This window comes from Homo sapiens, chromosome 7 (assembly GCF_000001405.40).
Source record: "Homo sapiens chromosome 7, GRCh38.p14 Primary Assembly".
Taxonomy (NCBI): Eukaryota; Metazoa; Chordata; class Mammalia; order Primates; family Hominidae; genus Homo; species Homo sapiens.
The window spans coordinates 8138360-8155554 of record NC_000007.14 but is presented as its reverse complement, the minus strand read 5'-3'; the positions used below and the strand labels follow the sequence as shown (position 1 = coordinate 8155554).

The window sequence follows — 17195 nt, the reverse complement described above, 5'->3', positions numbered from 1 at the left end:
TAATTCAGAAGAACTTCAGGCATGAGTTAGTTGCATATAAAGTACAATGTGAATTCATGAAATTGAAGTTGTGCCACAAGCATGGAAGAACCCACATGTGTATCCCTGGCCTCCTGTGCTGAGGAAAATATGGCTCCTTAATTTTTGCTACGACGTTTATCCTGCAGAGAGGATCAAGCTGATTATGTTAGAGCATTTCTGGGCAGAGAATTTAGTGAAAGTTTGACAGCAGTGGTTCAGGACATACTTACAAATATTTTGGGCAGATGACTATCTGTTAGCTTTTACATCCCCAGAGCCTTCCTTAAATTATGGTTTAAGTAATAGTTCATGGTTTAATTGTGATATAATCTTAGTAGGAGTAATAATATATCTGTTAGGGTATAATGATGTTATGGTAATATTAAGAATAAATGTTCAGAAACCAACCAAATAAACTGTACTTTTGTTCTTTTGTTACCTCTCTAGAATGGTTTTCATCTAGGCTTTCAATGATGACATATCACATTAGAATCTCAAGCTGATAGATAATTATCAGGTTGGTTCAAAAGTAATTACGGGTTTTTCCATTACTTTTAGTGTCAAAAACCACAATTACTTTTGCACCAACCTAATATTTTTCTTTATGTGGACTCAAATATGATATAATGGAATCCTGTTACGATACAACTCACTATTAGATCGATATAAGTATGTTGCATATTGTTTTGTATGCCACAAAACATGATGGTGAAAGCCATTAATACTTAATGTATCACAGTAAAATACAAGGATATTGTGTGACTTCCCAACCCTCTTGCACCAGTATTTTTAATACATGTCCTGTGTTTATAAGATTTGTATTTTATCAAGTCATCTTTTAATATATAAAATTTTATTCTGAATGGCACTCTGTGTTGATAATGGCCATTTTGAAATTTAAGTAAATATTTCCACGATTAATTTATTCTGTTGATTTACCTAAGCAAATAGCCCCTGAAATGCCTTTTGGGACTCTGACTGGAAAGAAAACATTGTCTTTAGAGAGGGTTGCCAAGCTCTGTTAATGAAAAGCAAGCCATTTGTTTTCTTTGCTTCAGGGTGTATTCTGAGTGTGTTGGTAATTGTGCCATTGCAGCTGTATTTCCTGACTGTTAGTTTTATGCTTGATGAAGGATGATAATTAATGTGTTAAACACTCGGTGCATCCTGTTTGGAGGGACAAGTTTTTTGCTACAGAATTACAGAGATATAACTCATGCCCCAAGAAGCACAAAGTTTTACTTCTACTGAACCTTTCTGTAAGAAATAGAGTTATAATTCTTTTACAAAGTTATTTTATTATAAAGATGAATTGAGTCTTCACTTCATACTTGAAAAATATCCAAGTGACTGTTGTGATATTTTGTTGTAATGTTTTATGTGACAACAAATATTGCTTTTTTACCCAAGCCTAATATAATTATATTGATTCTACTTTTACTGACACATTCCTTCATCATTTTAATTTTTTTATAATAAATAGATTTTTGTAGCATTTTAACTTTATAGTTTAGCTTTGAAATTTAATATTTAAAAAATTTTAATCTGATAATTATAACAGCTCAAGTTTAAGGCAGAGAAACTATCTTCTAAGTGGTTTCCAATGACAAAAGCAATTCCCTGATCTTGTATTTTCACACAACAAACATTTATCAATTCATTGAAATGTTACTACATATATATATATATATATATATTCTGCATGAGTTGTAATTAATATATTTATTTTATATTGATGCTAAATCATCTGGGACTATCTTTCACGTGGTAGAAATTATTGAGTCATGGGGCTAGGAATGGAATATTACTAGCCAGAACTTGAAAACATGGTCACTTTTCTAGAGAAAGTAACTTAGACTAAGAGTTTATGGCATTTTAAAATACTAAATGAAATTCTGTCTTGTTAGGAGAGCAGTACCCTATCTTAAATTACCAACACTGAGATGTGGTAGTCTTTGCTTCATCTTTCGAGGATGTCATTTACTTTCACATTTCTCCACAGATGCCGAGCAGACATTATCAAGGGGGAAAAAAAAAGACCTCATAAGTAGAGTGGCTTTTCCCTGGAAAATCTCACATATATTATATCAGTGACCATTTTCCCTCTATCTGGCGTGCTGGCAGCAGGTTGAGTTGGGTGTCGCAGTGAGCATTGGGCCCCTCGCAGCAGTGGACATACTCATCCAGGGGCCTGTCCTCCTGCATTTGTATTTTTAAGGAGATCAGAGTGCCTGTATTTAATGAAAATGGCCAGTAGTAAAGTGGATTCCTGTGAGATGTCTCTTCCCAGTGTTTTTGGAAGGAAAGCCAGTTTTTTGACTTTGTTCTTCATTTCCTCTGGTTTTGTGATAAAACAAAGTATATAAAAGCACAATCTCTGGAGCCAGCCAGACCTAGCTTTAAGTCTGGCTCTGCATGGTGGTGGTAGTGAGAGAGGCGTGAGTGGTTGTGAAAGTGGTAGCAGTGTTTGTGTTGGTGATGCTGGTGATGGCAGCGGTGGTGACAAAGGAGGTGAAAGCAATGACAGCAGCAGTGCTAGAGGAGGTGCTGGTGGTAGTGGTGATGGAGGAGATGATGGTAGTGGTGGAAGAGGTGATGGTGGTAGTGGTGGGGGTAGTGGTGATGAAGGAGATAATGGTGGTAGTGGTGGTGGAGGTGATGGTGATGGTGGCGGAGGAGGTGATGGTGGTAGTGGTGGGGGTAGTGGTGTTGAAGGAGATGGTGGTGGTGGTGGTGGAGGTGATGGTGATGGTGATAGTGGTGGGGGTAGTGGTGATGAAGGAGATGGTGGTTGTGGTGGTGGTGGTGATGGTGGAGGAGGTGATGGTGGTAGTGGTGGGGGTAGTGGTGATGAAGGAGATAATGGTGGTGGTGGTGGTGGTGGTGGTGGAGGAGATGGTGGTAGTGGTGGAAGAGGTGATGGTGGTAGTGCTGGGGGTAGTGGTGGTGAAGGAGATGGTGGTGGTGGTGGTGGTGGTGGAGGTGGTGATGGTAATAGCAGTAGTGAAAGAGGTGAGTGGTAGTGGTGGTGGTAAGGGTGACGGTAATGGTTGTGGTGGTTGTTGCGATGGTGGTGGCAGTGGTGAGGATAACAGCCACGGTAAAGGCTCCAGTAATGACATAGTGCTGGTAATGGGGATGTACTTACTATGAATTCTATAGTAGATCCAGAAGACAACCATGCGAAGCATCAATACAGGAGAGTTTGTTGGGGTTTCTAGGTTATGTTACTTTCTCACTCTCCATTTCACCCTAGATTGTCAGTTTTATGTGAGTTTCACAGGTGAGGCTATGAATTGCAGTGGGACAGGAGGTCTGGCCAGATCTCACCCCAGGGTAACCCAACCCACCCCCTGCCTGGCTTTCACAGACACTCTGGCAGCTCGATTCCCAAACCTGTCCTTCAGCTTTGCAGACCTTGGTCTGGGCTTACAGAATTCCCACCAGGGATAGAAGAGGGCTGGGAAGGCCGGCAGGCAGGAAAGGCAGTAGGGCCTCCCATCTCTGCAACAGGGCTAATTCTAAAAAATGCAATTTGGCTTTACAACTCGCTCTTGATCTGTGCCAAGATTTTAACGCTAAGGAAACCTGAATTTGAAAACGTAACTCTGAACATGTTCAAAAATAACCATTGAAACAGATGTACCCATGTCTCCTCCTTTCTCTCTTGGGGTGTAGGTCTTAGCACTGTTAGATGGAACGTCATTCTAGAGACCAGAATGCTTTTAGCTTTGAAAATTCAAAAAACATCCTTTTCTAAATTTTGTTTTTCTCAAATTCATATGCCTCGCAGCCTTCTTCCACCCACCTCCACATTTCTCAGTTAATCACTGGAACATTTACCAACCGGCCACATGGCTCTGTAGTTACTTGCTTTGAAAATAAAGCCATAATAGTTTTTATGAAAATTGGGTAAATATCCCTGCAATGCTATTTTAGTTACCAGTCCCAACAAGACAATTACATATGGCGAGCATCCAGGATATCCTTTTAGGCTTTCAAGTTTTCTCTCATTGTCATTACTTTACACAGCATTTAGCAAGGCTGTTTTTTTCCCAAGCTGCTCCAGGCCAGATCATTGGAAACAGAAAATTGGGATGCATCCAGGTCACCAAGAAAGGAGGGAGTGGAGGGACTGACCAAGGCCACCACTGAAATCTGAGGGGGACGAGCCGGAGTGTGGCTTGTCATTTGTTCATCCACGCCTGATGGCGACTGGCATTGGTTCTCCCAGGCAGCTGGTAGCTCAAGCCTTCACAATGGCATGTTGCTTCTCCATCCCCCACCTCTCTCATTCCCTAACTCCTCCCTGAGGGGAAAGGGAAAAATATTACTATTGTGTGGGTAGGTTGTCTGGGCCAAACGCTCTGCAAAGGGTGAGGTGAAATAGTGTCTAGGAGAATTTGTCACACAGTGTGCCAAGGTTGGGATTGTAATTAATAGTACTGCTAGGTTCAGCACTGACATATAGAAAGTGAATCTATTTCCTTTAACCCTCAAAATAACCTTGGAACATTGGATATACTTGTTCTTCTTTCCGTGTTTCAAATGAGGACACAGAAACTCAGAAAGGTCTAGTCGTTTGCCTGGGCCTGCATGCCCATTGTGCAGAAGATTGGGAATTGGGATGCTCCTGCCTTCCCCAGCAGGGCCATGCACTGCTTCCCAGGGGCACTTCTGGACATGGGGCAGGAAGGGAGGAGGAGAAAGCAGAAGTGCCACCTTTAAAAAATACAGCTGCAAACTTTCAATTAAAAATAGCACTTTGAAGTGTTTGCTTATAGGCAAAAAAGCATGATTTGTATGTCAGTCCTTCAGATACCTGGGAATGTATGGCTCTTCTTTTAGAGTTTGGGATGAAGTCCTCTCGATCTCCCAAACGCCTCATATTGAAGGGGAAGGTCACTACATGCTGGCTGGGGTATTTAATACCATTTCTTAACTAGTTGTAGAATTTTTAAGACCCGGATTCAAATATTGCTTCTACCTGGTAATAGCCGAAAGGCCTGAAGCAAGTCAGTTCACCTCTCCAAGTCTCCATTTTCCTGTCAGGAAAGCAGGAATACAAGGTTTAACTGGGTTTTGTGAGGATTAAGTGAGATACAGAAAACATAGAGCACAGTACCTGCCACAGGAGGAGCACTTAAGACATCTAATTCCCTTTAGAACTTTAAAAGTCATTGATAAGAAAGCAAGTTTTGAGTGTTTGGTATGAGCTTGGTACTGTGTAGAAGCACCCTCTCAGTTCATCCTCACAGCATCACAAGACGAATACTCGTCATTACCTCCATTGTTCTCATGGGTAAACCAAGACCTCCAAGGAGTGGAGACCATGTCCATGCCACAGCACTATGTGATCCATCTCCAAAGTCCATTTGTTTCCAGGACAGTATGGTGCCTTGTCATTATCAATTTTCTATCTTATTTTTAAAGAAGAATATTACCTATCTTGTTTATGATTGTGATTATTTTTCTCTAATTTTACTTTTTTATACAGTACAATTCAAGGCTACCTCTAGTTACAGAGTAATAGTGTTTCTTATATAGTGTCTTTATAAATTTGTAAGTGTACGGTGAGAGCAAGAGAGTACGTATGTGCTAAATGTCCATGAATTATGTGGCCAGTACACATCACTGTGGCCTCTGTTTTTATTTTCATGTACTTCTAATTGTATAAACACACACATACACATACCCAACTGAATTCAGCACTTTTTAAACATGCCCCACTATTTTGAACACTTTTATTTTTTTTATAGACAATTACTTGGCACCTTCATATGTATACAATATAATTAATGGAAAGTAGCATAAGAAAATTAGATGTCGTAATTAAAGGCTAGAGAAGATACTACTCAGTTGTCAAAGTTAAACATTAAATTTAGGTTATTAGAACTGGCTGCTGGCCTTGTGTCTGTGAAATTTGTTTTGCTAAGTAGTTTTGCATTCATTCAGATGAATGTTGCTGTTGCTTTTATTTTCCTAATACAGGAAGTGGTAACTCCCATTATTATATTAAGCTGTTTCCTTTCTAAGACACTTTTGCAAGCTCGATCTGCGAGTTTCCTCTGTCACGCTGATCTTACATACTACTGTGTGTGTGCTTCCTGAAACCATTTAAGCATGGATGGAAATCATTAGCATGTTAGTGCAGCCTTAACAGAGAAAAGTTTCTTAGTCTAAAAACATTCTTTCCTCCACAAAGAAACTTTCAGTCTTGTATGACTCTGTGTGCTGCTAATACACAGCAATTTTCATGAGCAATTTTAATGAGAGACTGAGTGGGTTTGGGGTTTAGAAACAGAACGTTTTTGGAGTTTTCATTTCTGGACGTGGATTCGTATGTGGCTCCCATCAGCTGGTAATTGGAAATAATGGTTCATCTGATGGCTGCCTCGTCTATACATAGTCAGAGAGGCCTCTTAGATTCATTTTGCCTGAGCAGGTGTTCCTGTCACACAGAAAATATTGTCACCCCTGACTTCTATGCGTTCTATAGGGTTAAGCACTTCAATGGAGTCGTGGACTTCAAAATAATTTGAAGAATTCACCTGCACCTTCTACCCCGAGTTGAGCGTTTGTGATCCAACGTCGGGGAGAGCAGTCTAGAGAATATCCTGTATCTGACAGTCACACCCAGGAACTAATTTGGGGGGATAAAGGGGGTTATGATTTTTTCCTCCATGATCTTTTAATGTTCCCCTTAGCCCCTTTATATCTTCAATGTATACCATCTTTTGTAAGAAACAAGTTCCATATGTGTTATTGTTTTTTTCCTTGCTATATCAAAGAGTATTTAGCTTCGTTTGGTCTACAAATTCTGTCTTGGTGATGTCCCTTGAAAATGTCCTGAAATTGATTATGGTGATGGTCGTCCCACTCTGTGAATACAGTATGTCCTCACTGTCATCAGTTTGTTCTTGGGAAACTGTGACTTTAAGCAAAACAATGTATAATGAAATCCATTTTACCATAGGCTGATTATACAATCAAGAGTTAAGTTCTTACGATGTAACAATTTATGGTCACAAAAACATCACCAAGCTTCTAAATAAAGACCCAAAACACTTCTAATATTTAACACTGAAATAAATCTAAGTTATATGTACATTTAGAAAAGTTTAAAAAAAAAGGTAAGGTAATTCTTTACCCAATTCTTGGTGGATCAGTGAGTGACAGGGAGTCAGAACAGTAGTGGGTTAAATTAAGGAATAAGCGTTGGTGAAGCAAAAATTCTAAGACACCGCCTGCCACCAGGCAGTTCAATCACAATCACAAATACCGTGGGCTCACCGGGTGCTTTTCTGTCACAGCGTTTATTGTCATGCTTCTGTATGATTATATACTTGAAGGATTTTTTATGATAAATTTTATTTATTCATTTGTTCATTTTCCAAACTGCTTATTCCAGTTCAGGGTGGTGGATGGTGGGAGCCTATCCCAGCAGCTCAGGACACAGGATGGGAACCAGTCCTAGACAGGATGCCACCCCGTAGCAGGTCGCACCGACACACACCCCCACGGTCATTCACACTGGGACCATGTAGAATCGCACATTCACCTGACTTGTGTAGCTTTGGGATATGGGAGGAAACTGGAGTGGAGCCAGGAGAAAACCCATTCAGACATGGGCAGAATGTGCAAACTCCACCCTGACAGTGGCCCCGAGCCAGGAAATCCATTTTTTTTTCTCATCAACATTATAACAAAATGACATTATTCAAGGACCTACTTACTGTGTACTGCAAACCATTGAACAGTTAGGTGAATTCTATGGTATTTGAATTATAGCTCAGTTAAGCTTGTGTGTGTGTGTGTGTGTGTGTGTGTGTGTGTGTGTGTGTGTTCCCCTTGGCTCAAAATTCTAATATTTAATAAACAAGTCCATGTGCTCAGTATCAATTTTGCTTGTGGTTTTATAAACCTTTTCAAATTACTCCCCTGAGCCTTTGAATTTCCTAGCTAAGGAGCTCTAGTTTTTTTAGTGTAACCTTATGTACATCCATTTATCAATCAACAAGTACATATTTAGCACCTGTCTTGAGCTGCAACAGCCAAATTGTTTTAGGAATAATAGTAATAGTAGGAAGAGAGGAGCAATTACTACAGGAATTATTAATAATAATTTTAAATAGTTGGAACTGCAGCCATTCCGTTGGGAGAAGCACAATAGTGACTTAACTGTGATTGTGGTGACAGGGAGCCAACAATTGAGTCCCTGCTAATGGGCCAACAGGGGAAGGGGTTGAAAAGGAGGAGTGAGTGGTTTACATTACAAAAGGATTGTCTGAGAGCTGCTCAAGTGTGGTTATGAGGGGAGGTCAGGCTGGAGACAGAAAGGATGATAACCGTGGAGCTGTCAAGGGCATGTCAGGGGTTTAGGCAAGCGCTGTGGCAGCTAGACAGGGCCGGCTGAGAGCAGACATGCCCTGGCCCTGCCTAGCGTTGATTGATAAAAAGGAAACACAATGAGAAGATAATTGAGCAAACCAGGAGGCCTGGACCAGTGTTACAAAATTTAAAAGTGAGTCTTGGGAGCCATCAGAACCTTGGCTGAAAATATTCCTGGCTTCACTTTGACCAGAGTTGGACCATTTTGTGGAGGAATAAAACTACCGAAAGGCGAGTGTGTGTGTGTGTGTGTGTGTGTGCGTGTGTGTGTGTGTGTGTGTGTGTACATGAATAAAATGCTGTAATTGGCAGATGGATTGAAAAGAGTACATCCTTGACATCTATTGAACTCCTTCCTCCTGGCTGCACATATACTAAACACACACACACACACACACACGCACACGCACACACACGCACACACGTGCCTGACTTTCACTGGAAGCTTTGGGGTATATAAAAAAATCATGAACATCCAGGCTGCAGTCCATATTCCAGTTGTCTCATTTGTCCTGACACTGCCCTTTGTATCATTTTCCCCTCCAGTGCAGGCTGCAGCAGCCAAGGATCGTGTATTGCATTTAGTTGTCATGCATTAGGGAGACAGAGCAAAAGATGATGATGGAACAAAATGGGGCAAAATGTTAAATATTGATGAATATGGGTACGGGAATGTTCTCCCCATGTGACCCCTGCTGACCTCTTTATCCCAGTCTCAAGACTTGTACTCTTGCCAACTATACGGCAGCTCCAGTGGCATTCTTTTTGTTCCTCAGACAAACCAAGCTATTCCTACCTTTGAGCCATTGACTCGGAACTCTCTTCTCCCTGAGCTTCACATGGCTGGCTCCTTCTTGTCATTTAGCTCTTAGTTGAAATGTCACTTCCAAAAGAGGACATCCTGCTAACTGGGGTAATGACCCAATCACTTTCTATCCCTCGGTTTTAATTATCTGCCTAGACCCATCGCTAGCTAATAATTTTGTCTGTCGTGTTCACCGGTGTATCCAAAGCACCCAACAGCACCTGTCATTGGGTAGTGCTCAAAAACTATTTGTTAACTGAATGAACTAATCTAAATGTCCAGAAATAGGAGTCATTAAAAATGATGTCAGTGCCTTACGGATGTGCTTTATGCAAGAAAATGCTTCAGAACTCCAGTCAGGGGACATATACTCAGAGAAGACCTGGGTTCCACTTTAGAATATTGGTGAAGGAATGCACATTTTTATATTTCAGTTTTGATATTAACTGCTTAAGGTATATAACGTCTTTTTTATATTCTGTAGTCTAATAAGCCTTTTTTAAATTATGAAATATCTACACAAATTATATTGGTTAAAAGGACTACTGTCTCTCTATATATTTTATATACATATATATATATATATATACACAATGATTCCAATCATACAAGTAGTGTATGAAAAAAGCAGAAAATATATGAAAATCATCATCATTTTAAGGATATGGAATTATGAGTAATTTTTACTTTTTTATCAGACTTGCTGCATGTGGTTCTATTATGTTTCTGATTTAGAAAATATTTTACGGAGACAAAACATAATACAGGATAAATATGATCAAATATTAATAAAACTGAAGTGCAGTTTGGATATGGAAAGACTTTCCTGAATTTGGCATGCTTAGTGAAGCTTTGCAGAAAATGCTGGTAATTGATCTGGACTTTGAAAACACTCATAGGATTAATGAGGATAAACAAATAGAGCATTTTAGGTTAAAGAAGCAGAATGAACAAAGACAGGAAGGAAGAAACTAGCACATGGGAGACTATGAGGAGACCATCCTAACTGAAAGAAAGCTCATGTTTGGGGGATGGTAGGGAGCAAGATGGGAAAGTTAGGCTAGGATCCCATTTTAGAAGATCTTCAAAATTGGTCAGAGAGGTTGATATTAGAAGTGGAAAGAAATAAGGAAGTTCTTACAATAAAGAAATACGCTGGTCCTTCTCAAGAAATAAGATTCTTGAAAAGAAGGATAACATGATGACGTGGGTGTTTTAGGAAAATTACTCTGTGCAGAGAGAGAAACAGAGCTGGCAGTTTGGAAGTGTGACACCAGTATCCATCTGGTGTCCATGGCAGACACCAAAATCAATCACAGGTCTGCTCTGCCGAGACACAGCCTGAGAACCATCTTCACTGGCCCTCCAGTCAGCCAGTACTAATCAATCAGAATTGGCCATGAAACCTGATTGCCTCCTATGTGTGTCAGACAAGTGAACGATAGGCAGGAGAAGGACAGGAGAAACAAGGTGAAGGCCCCAGGCTCATGACTTGGATTTTAGTAGTTCTGAGAATATAAGAAGGATAAGTATCCTGAGATGTTTATTTTGTATTTATAGGTTTGTATTTTAATTAGGGCCAGAAATAGAGATCTTTTTGTATAAATCATTATTCAGTTCTAGAAATGTTTTGCTTTTTCTTTCAGGATCATTGTCACTGGTATACAGTTTCTAGGCACTTGCTGTTTAAAAAAAAAAACTTAAATATTTAGTTAACCTTGAAAATAGTAACTCCAACAAATGATGTGCCAAAAGAAGACTCTCACCCATTTTAATCTACAAAGATTTGGATGCACCTGCTCTGTCCACTCGTGGGAGTTAGGTTGTCAGAATATGTTAAGCCACTATTTTTGGTTTTTTAAGAAAAGGTTTTGTTTTCTGTTATTTTTTAAAACTGGGTTTTAGATTGCAAAATAGCAAACAAAATTTAAAACAAAATGAAATCGTCTCATCTCTGGTGGAGGTGGGAGGAACTTCTACTTTGTCAGTGTGTGGGCTGCGAACAGAACAGAATGTTTATCTTAACTACATGTTGAAGTTGAAAAATAAAGTTAGCAATAGCCAAAAGGCCACGTTTGAATAACTTATCACAAAATGGAAAACATAAATCTTGTGGCAAATCAGCTCTGCTATATATGCTAGTATTTCTCGGATGTGTCTGAGAACATTGTTGCTTCACCATATAAAATTTTATTTCTTCCAGCTGATTGGTTCAAGGTCACCTCCCAATACCTGTAATTCAAAGTTTGGTTGCTGGGACAAATGGCAGTTGAATTTTTTAATTGATAACCTTTCTTTTCTTTTTTTTGTCTCTATTTCTTCTTCTTTTTTTTTCTTTTTCATTTTTCTATGGCTCGTGATCAAGAGCTTACAAGACCCTATGAAAAAATTAGTTGAGAAAGAAGAGAAGAAGAAAATCAACCAGCAGGAAAGTACAGATGCAGCCGTGCAGGAGCCGAGCCAGTAAGTCACAGGTTCCTTCCCTCTGCATCTTTCTTCCCACAGGTGAGAGTTATGTGGTTCTCGCTGACCGAACCTGGCTGGGCCTCAGACGCAGACTTGTCTTACTTCCTCACTTCTCAGAGTAGATGTATTAGCATCCCAGCCAAACCCCTTTAACGCATGCTCCTGCTAGGTCATGACTCACGTATCCCAGTAAGAGATCGGTTTCCAGGGGACTTAGAAGGGCACACTTGTGAGGAGCTGACTGGAACAAGACAGGGCAAATGTCCCCAGCATTCCCTGGCTCTCTGCCTGTGACCTGAGCCCCAGCTTTGCACTTTCTCTGGTTTCTGGACCCTATCTGGTCCTTTGTCAACACTAGATGCTCTTCTAGATAGGAAATCCCCTGGCTTTTCTCTCACTGAGGGAGCTTACCTATGAAATTGCCCTGGGATACATGCATACTAAGGCATCATCATATGAAAGTGTTGGATTTTGGCACTGTGTTTTCTACCATGCAGAATGTCTGTTTTCTTCTCTGTGAAACAGAGAACAGCTTCAAGTACAGGAAATGACTGCTCCATCTCCATTTCATGCCCCTTTACAAAGAAGGTGCCTCTTGTCATTTTAAATACTGAGATGAACTTTTCAACATATGTGGTGCATGGTTCCCTTTCTCATACATTGAGAAGGAGGTTGAAATGTGGATCTGTATCATTTTCTATGGAGATATAATAGCTTGCAGGAATGCAGTTAATCTTTGAACTGGCCGACCTAGGAAAACAAAATGGATGGCCTCGTTTCTATTCTCTACTCCTTTTCCACACACAAAAAAAATTTAGATGACAGTCTTATCGTAAAACAGGCTTATACTTTTATTGTATTTCTAAATCGACTTTCAGATATATTTTTTGTCCCACAGGAAAAGTTGCTGCCAATATTAGCCTTTTTAAATTTTAAAGAGTATATGTACTAGATAAATTTTTTGATGCAGAATGAAGACAAGTTCTCACTGAAGGACAGACTGTAGAATGTGATCTGAATCTAGTAAAACTGGCTATTTTATGGTGAACCAGTTTAACCCATTCCTGGTGATGGTAATAGTGCTAGCTATCATTTTAGTGAGCACCTACTATGAACCAGATACAATGCTAGGTGTTTTATTTATGTTAATTCCATCTCATGACAACCTTCAGTGACGTCAAGGCTGGGATTTTCCTTGTCATGTAAAAGATGGAAGGAAGGTTCCGGAAGGTTAAGGGGCTGCCCACTTACTCTTGTGTAGTAAGAGGTGAGACCTGAAGTGGGTCCCTGCACCTTCTTTTCACCATATAAGTTCATACAATCAAAATAAAGCATTCACCTTTACTTGGAAGTGGATTACCTGGGATTTTTCTTGATTTGTTTTAATTAATTCAGATTTCTCAAATACTTCAGTGCTTCATTTTTGAAAGCTCACAAAGTATAACCCAGTAACTATTTAAAATGACAGTGAACACTGAACGTGAATTTTGTTTAGAAATAGCAGACAAAGGTGCATCACGGTGCTAGGAGGAAGGCTCGGAGGCACCAAGTGAATCTCAAGGGCAGTGATGTGTCTCTGTGTTTAAAGAAGTGGTGAGAGTTGAGTAGGAGATGGTCAGCCTGGATTTATGAGTGGTCCTGCCTGCAGCCTCTGTAGCCGAGCTAACCTCTGGAGGTGTCCTCTCCTATAACACTAGGAATCAGAAGAAATGGATTCTGATTGATATTTTTACAGTTTTTTTAACTATCAATTTTTACTATTTTTAAGGTGATAACTGTATGCGTCTATCTTATTTATATCTAACTGCCCATCTAGATATTTACAGAATATTTGCCTCGAGATGAAAGCAAATTCAGATATTAAGATGCTACAGAAAGGGAAAGAAGGCCAGCAAATTGGCATGTAAATGACTATATGTTGACCCTTCTTCGTGTGCGTGTGTGTGGTGTATGTGTTTGTGTTAAAAGTGAAGTAATATTGTACTGAAAGTCTGGCTGTATCATAAATATAACATTGGTAGAAGTTGATGACTAAACCTCTTTTTTATTTTAAGATTAATTTCATTAGAGGAAGAAAACCAGCGCAAGGAATCCTCTAGTTTTAAGAGTAAGTTTTGATTTTTATTTAGAATTGCTTCTGAAATATTACTTAATGCTTAACAGCCAAGTCATTTTACTTTTTGACAAACTCCTCCTAGGCCTTTCTTCTTTTTCAACTGAGAAAAGGCTAATTTGCTTCCTGTAGACTCAGTTCTAAATGTTCAGATATCCACCATGTCAACCCTACAGCATTACTGAGAGAGGCTGTGTATTGTGAACCAGAAAATCACATCACAGTCACATCAGCAGCAGCTCTTCAGAGGGGCAGCCACGATGGGAACTGGCAAATCGCTGTTTCTTTTCACAGCGGATTATAAGATTTCTGCTGTGACCCTGACTGGTTCTAGTTTTCATAAGATGAGGCTATGACCTCAGGAGAGGTGGATTTGCGGTATGTGTGGGGCGGGTGGATGTTTGTCAATGTTGGAAACAGATAGGAGCTGCTCACCCTGCCCTGCCAGCTGATGCCTCAGCCTGCCAGTGCCAAGCAACCCCTGATCCCTCAGGTGAACTGAACCTGATGTGTTAGGAGAAGGGGTCAGAGCGTTGGGAGATGGCACAGTGTGCTGTGCAGGCTCATCAGCTATTTCTGTCTCCTGCTGTTACTGCCAGTGTTTTCATTGGTCCTTCACCTCACAGAGGGACACAGGGTTTGATAGATTGTGGTAGAATTAATGTGACACAGTACCAAGCACTTCACTGGCACTCAAGCTCCTCGGAGATGCGGGGGAATGTTTTACAGGTGTTATGAAGAGAACTAAAATTACCCCAACACTGTGTTTACCTGGTCCCCCTGGGGACATATGCATCTCTTCCTGCTTCACCCTCTGGTGTGGTACCTTCCTGGAAGATAGGAGGAGGCAAAGGAGATTCTAGAACTTCTCCTCTGCTCCATTCTTCTCCTTCACCCTCTATCTTCCTTTTTACCTTTCCACCCACTTGCTTCTCCTCCTATTTGCTTTTCTCCTATCTGCCTTTCAACAACAACAACAAAAGACTCACTTTTTTGCCTCTAATGCTTGCTTCATGTCATCCATTCACACATGTACACCTTCACGTACAAGTACTCATGCACTTGTTCATTTGTTCAACAGATGTTTATTGAGCCGCCTCTGTGCCAGGCATGGCGCTGGGCTCTGGGCATACAGTGGTGCACCAGACATAGTCCCTTCCAGGATGAGGCTGACAGTCAAAAGGGCAAGCAGATGGTAATCTAATCATTACCAAAGTAATCCAGCAGCTCCAGCTTTGGTGGGAGCTCCAAGGGAGAGGTGTAGGGCTTTGGGCACATGTGATGGAGAGGACACAACTTTTTTAGGAGATCAGGGAACTGGCTAAGCCAAGTGCTATGGCAAGACTTGTCAAAGCAGAAGAAACAGCCTGGGCAAAGGTTATGGGCACAGGAGGACCTGGAGAAAGTCAGAGAAACCATGCTCCAGAGCATGAGGGGGAGCGAGTGGCAGGAGGAGAAAGGGAGCAGCTGGGCCTGCTCTTGTTGGCCACAGAAGAGCTCTCTGTCTATATGGATGCAAGCTCTCCAGCCTCAGTGTACCCACGGCACGAATCACTAATGTTGTCATAGTCAAGGTAATTGGATAGGAAAACATGGGTTCTGTGGGAAAATATAAACTGCAGTTTATTATATTTGTATGCAAGTTATAAATCTATATAAATTATATATTCATACAATATGTGACAATGCAGGGGAATCAAATTTTCTCTCGTTCCTTGTGCAGTATAATTGCTTGTGGTATTTGCATATTTTGAGATTGTAAATGTCGATCATCTTGTTTTATATATGCACAGAATAAAATCCATTATAATGAAGTATCATATTTCTTTTATTCTGTGACTTGCAGAAAGGCTAATGAACATATGAGCAAATCAAGTTTTAAGGCTGTTCTATTACAAACACACACACAGACACACTTTATTGTTTAGAATAGTTTTTGGTTCACAGCAAAGTTAGGCTCAATGTACAGAGATTTCTCATAGATTCCTTTCCCCAGCATATACATAGCCTTTCCCACTATTAACATCCTACACCAGGTGGTATATTTGTTATAGTCAATAAACCTACATTGACATCATTATCACCCAAAGTCCATAGTTTACATTAGCATTCACGCTTGGTGTTATACATTTTGTGGGCATTACAAATGTATAATGATATATATCTACCATTATAGGACCTTACAAAACAGTTTCACTGCCCTGAAACCCCTGTGTCCTCCACTATTCATCCCTCCCTCCCCTCAAGCCTTTGGCAAATGCTGATCTTCTTACTGTCCTCATAGTTTTGTCTTTTCCAAAATGTCATATAATTGGAATCATGCAATGTGTAGCCTTTTCAGATTGACTTCTTTCACTTAGTAATCTACCTTTTCATTTTAGCCAGGCCCATATGGCTAAAGTTCATCAGCATCATCAAGTAATAGTCAGTTACTTAAGTCACACACTTGTCCATGGAAGGAGAATTGTTAGATCGATGTCATATGGTTTTCAGGTTATCTGCCAAACAAAGCAAAGATTCAGGGCTGTTAATTTGGCATTCTCTGAGAGCTGATAGCAGGAGTCCAGTGTAATCTGAGGACCCTTGCTTCTGGCTGAGTTTGTGGATCCCATTTCTTCCTGAAGCCGTGCATTTACCTTACACTGCAATAGCGTATGAACATGCACACCATTTCGAGTTGTTGGTAACCAGTTGCACATGTTATATTACAGCTGAAGATGGAAAAAGTATTTTATCTGCCTTAGACAAAGGCTCTACACATACTGCATGCTCAGGTAACCTAGATTAAGGAAAACTACTCAATTTTAATTATTTGACTCAAACTCCTCACAAAATGAAACTGACTTATAATTTTGTTTTCTTTCCTCTTCTCTAAAGGACCCATAGATGAACTATTAGACATGAAATCTGAGGAAGGTGGTAAGATTTATGTGTTTCTTTGGGATTATGATTTGTTTGATTTTTTAAATTACTCTTTTACATGTAAGAAAGTGTAATCTTAATCTTTTTAATAGCTTTGCATTCCAAAGGAAAGTTTTTTGGGTGACAGTCTTTATAAATGACCTCAAATATGCCCAAGCACAAAATAGTATGTGTAGACCTATCATCATTAGTATAATGAATTTCATAATGTTCAAACTACTATAGCTAAAAGTTATGTCATGGGTCACATGCTGTAGTAGAAAAAACATGGCTTTCAGAATCAGACACGTGGATTTAAAGACTGGTTTTACCATAAATGGCCTGTATTTTAAGTGATTTGCTTCATACTTAAACTCTCTAAGCCTGGGTTATTCTCATTTGTAAAATGGAAACAATAGCAACGGCCTTGGTGGGTTATTGTCAGAACTGGAGATCGTGTGTAAGGGGTCCTTGATGGCCTCTAACACAGGGTTATGT

The 17195-nt window shown here is 40.0% G+C and overlaps 1 protein-coding gene across 39 annotated transcripts in view, besides 2 other annotated features; it reads left to right on the top strand.

Moving 5' to 3' along the window:
* ICA1 (islet cell autoantigen 1) overlaps positions 1–17195 on the top strand; it is a 149372-nt gene that overhangs the window by 107001 nt on the left and 25176 nt on the right. For 16 of the 39 annotated variants that reach the window (XR_002956426.2, XM_024446741.2, XM_011515349.2 and 13 more), the window contains 5 exons: positions 11583–11680; positions 13500–13586; positions 13738–13790; positions 16508–16570; positions 16674–16715. Coding sequence is in view for 34 of the 39 variants with exons in the window: in XM_024446741.2 (XP_024302509.1) it covers positions 11583–11680; positions 13500–13586; positions 13738–13790; positions 16508–16570; positions 16674–16715 (343 nt within the window). In the remaining 5 variants the exon portion in view is untranslated. Of the gene's footprint in view, positions 1–11582; positions 11723–13499; positions 13587–13737; positions 13791–16507; positions 16571–16673; positions 16716–17195 lie in introns of all 39 variants that reach the window. The other 23 variants (NR_146928.2, NM_001276478.2, NM_004968.4 and 20 more) reach the window with 5 other exon arrangements.
* Positions 8026–8543: an enhancer, noted in NCBI's record as "NANOG hESC enhancer chr7:8186642-8187159 (GRCh37/hg19 assembly coordinates)". NCBI's record gives its function as "activates a minimal SCP1, AML or CMV promoter by ChIP-STARR-seq in primed H9 embryonic stem cells {active_cell/tissue: H9 hESC(primed)}" and the evidence as "EXISTENCE:reporter gene assay evidence [ECO:0000049][PMID:30033119]".
* Positions 11673–11902: an enhancer, noted in NCBI's record as "active region_25657". NCBI's record gives its function as "activates an Ori minimal core promoter by ATAC-STARR-seq in GM12878 lymphoblastoid cells {active_cell/tissue: GM12878}" and the evidence as "EXISTENCE:reporter gene assay evidence [ECO:0000049][PMID:35858748]".